Source organism: Homo sapiens, chromosome 18 (genome assembly GCF_000001405.40).
Source record: "Homo sapiens chromosome 18, GRCh38.p14 Primary Assembly".
Lineage (NCBI taxonomy): Eukaryota > Metazoa > Chordata > Mammalia > Primates > Hominidae > Homo > Homo sapiens.
Genome location: NC_000018.10, coordinates 2,400,313 through 2,402,966, shown reverse-complemented (window position 1 = coordinate 2,402,966; position 2,654 = coordinate 2,400,313). Strand labels below are relative to the sequence as shown.

The following is a 2,654-nucleotide window of genomic DNA, read 5'->3' as shown; positions in this document are numbered from 1 at the left end:
ATCATTTCTATGTGTTGGGAGCAACTCAAGACCTCTCTTCTAGCTACTTAGAAATACACAATACGTTGTTGCTAACTGTAGTCATGCTACTCTAGAACTTAAAGTCATGAACTTTAGAACTTATATATTCTATCTAATTGTATGTTTGTACCCATTAACCAACCTTTCTGCATCCTGGGCCTCCCACCCACGCACCCTTCCCAGCCTCCAGTATCTACCATTCTATTCTCTACCTCTATGAGATAAACTCTTTTTGCTTTCACATATGAGTGAGGACAAGCAATATTTGTCTCTTTGTGCCTGCTTTATTTGACTTAACACAATGACCTCCGGTTCCTTCCATGTCGCTGAAGATGACATGATTTCATTCTCTTTTGTGATTGAAGAGTATTCTATTGTATACATATACCACATTTCTTTATGCATTCATCCATTGATGGATATTTAAGCTGATTCCATCTCTTTGATATTATGAATAGTGCTGCAGTCAACATAGGGGTGCAGGAATCCCTTTGATAATACTTATTTCTTTTCCTTTGGATAAATGCCCAGTAGTGAGCTTGCTGGATTGTACTGTAGTTCTATTTTCAGATTTTTTGAGAAACCTCCACATTGTTTTACATAGTGATTATACTGATTTACATTCCTATCAACAGTTTATAAGAGTTCCCTTTTCTTTGCATTCTTGCCATTTTTTGTCTTTTTCATCATAGCCATTCTAACTGGGGAAAGATGACATCTCATTGTGGTTTCGGTCTGCATTTCCCTGATTAGTGATGTTGAGCACTTTTTCATAGACCTGTCTGCCATTTATATGTCTTCTTTTGAAAAATGTCTGTTCATGTCCTTAGCCCACTTTTTAATGGGATTATTCATTTTTAAAATCATTGAGTTGTTTAGGTTCCTTGTATATTTTGGATATTAGTCAGATAAGTAGTTTGCAAATATTTTCTCCTGTTCTCCTGTTCTTCCTGTCTCTTCATTTGTTGATTGTTTCCTTTGATGTGCAGTAGCTTTTTAGTTTAATATAATCCCATTTGTCTATTTTTGTAATAATTGTCTATGCTTTTGAGGTCTGAGCCATGAAATCTTTGCCTAGATTGATGACTTGAATATTTTCCCTATTTTTTTCCTAGTAATGTTATAGTTTTAGGTCTTATGCTTAAGTCTTATTCTATCTTGAGTTGATTTTTGTATATGGGGAGAGATAGGGTCTCAGTTTCATTCTTCTGCATATGAATATCCAATTTTCCTGGCACCATTTATTGAAAAAGGTGTCCTTATCCCAGTGTATGTTCCTGGTATTTTTATAGAAAATCAGTTGGCTGTAAATATGGGAATTTATTTATGGACTCTCTATTTTTGTTCCATTGCTTTATGTGTCTGTTTTTATACCAATATCATGTTGTTTTGGTTACTGTAGCTTTGTAATATGCTTTGAAGTCAAGTAGTGTGACTTCACTTTGTTTTTCTTGCGCAGGATTGCTTTCACTATTCTGGTTCTTTTTTGTTTCCAAACAAATTTTAAGATTCTTTTTTGTAATTCTGTGAAAAATGACATTGGTGTTTTGATAGAAATGTCATTGAATTTGTGAATTTCTTTGGGTAGTATGGTCATTTAAATTATATTAATTCTTCTAATCCATGAGCATGAGATATCTTTCCATTTGTGTCTTCTTCAATTTCTTTCAGTGTTTTGTAGATTTCTTCATTAAGATATTTTACCTCCTTGATTAAATTTATTCCTAGGTGTTTTCCTCTGTTGTTATTGCAAATGGGATTGCCTTCTTGATTTCCTTCTCAGTTAGTTCATTATTGATGTATAGAAATACTACTGATTTTTGTATGTTGATTTTATATCCTGCAACTTTACTGAGTTCATTTATCAGTTATAACTTTTCTTGGTGGGGTCTTTAGGTTTTTCTAGATACAAGATCATATCATCAGAAAAGAGGAACAATTGACTTCCCTTTTCCCCCTCAATTTGGATGCCTTTTATTTCTTTTGCTTGCCTGATTGTTTGGCAAGGACTTCCAGTACTATGATGAATAAGAGTGGTGAAAGCAGGCATCCTTGTCTCGTTCCAGATCCTGGAGGAAAGGCTTTCAGCTTTCCCCATTTGGTATGAATTTGGTACATTAGCTGTGAGTTCATCATATATGGCCTTTATTATTTTGAAGTATGTTCCTTCTATTCTTTTACTACGATGTTGGAGCTCCTGGACTTAGCCTCACATTTTCTTATCATTTCTTCTTCTTTTTTTTTTATAACTTTGTCCTTTTTGCTCTACTTTTTGAGAGATATCCTCATGTTTATCATTCAGTCATTCTATTGAGTTTTTCATTTCTACTACTATTAAAAATTTCTCAAAGTTCTTTTTTCTCCTCTCAAAGTTTTTACTCTATATTATTGTGTTCAAGCTTCATTGATATAAAATCTCTTCTCTCTGAGAATACTGAAGACACATTTTAAAAATTGTTCTTTTTCTTGAATGTTCTCTATTTCCTTCAAGTTCCTTTTTCTGTCTTTGTTTTGTCTCTTCCCTAAAACTTAGAGTCTTTTTTCCAATGACTATTACTCCTTGTCTGTGAGTTTACATTCAAGTGTGGTGCACTGAGAAGCTCATTGCATGTGCAGGGCTTGTTGACCACAGA

General features: G+C 33.8%; 1 annotated feature.

Moving 5' to 3' along the window:
• Positions 1,871–2,071: a silencer, noted in NCBI's record as "peak3044 fragment used in MPRA reporter construct". NCBI's record gives its function as "represses an SCP1 promoter by STARR-seq MPRAs in K562 erythroleukemia cells {active_cell/tissue: K562}" and the evidence as "EXISTENCE:reporter gene assay evidence [ECO:0000049][PMID:32103011]".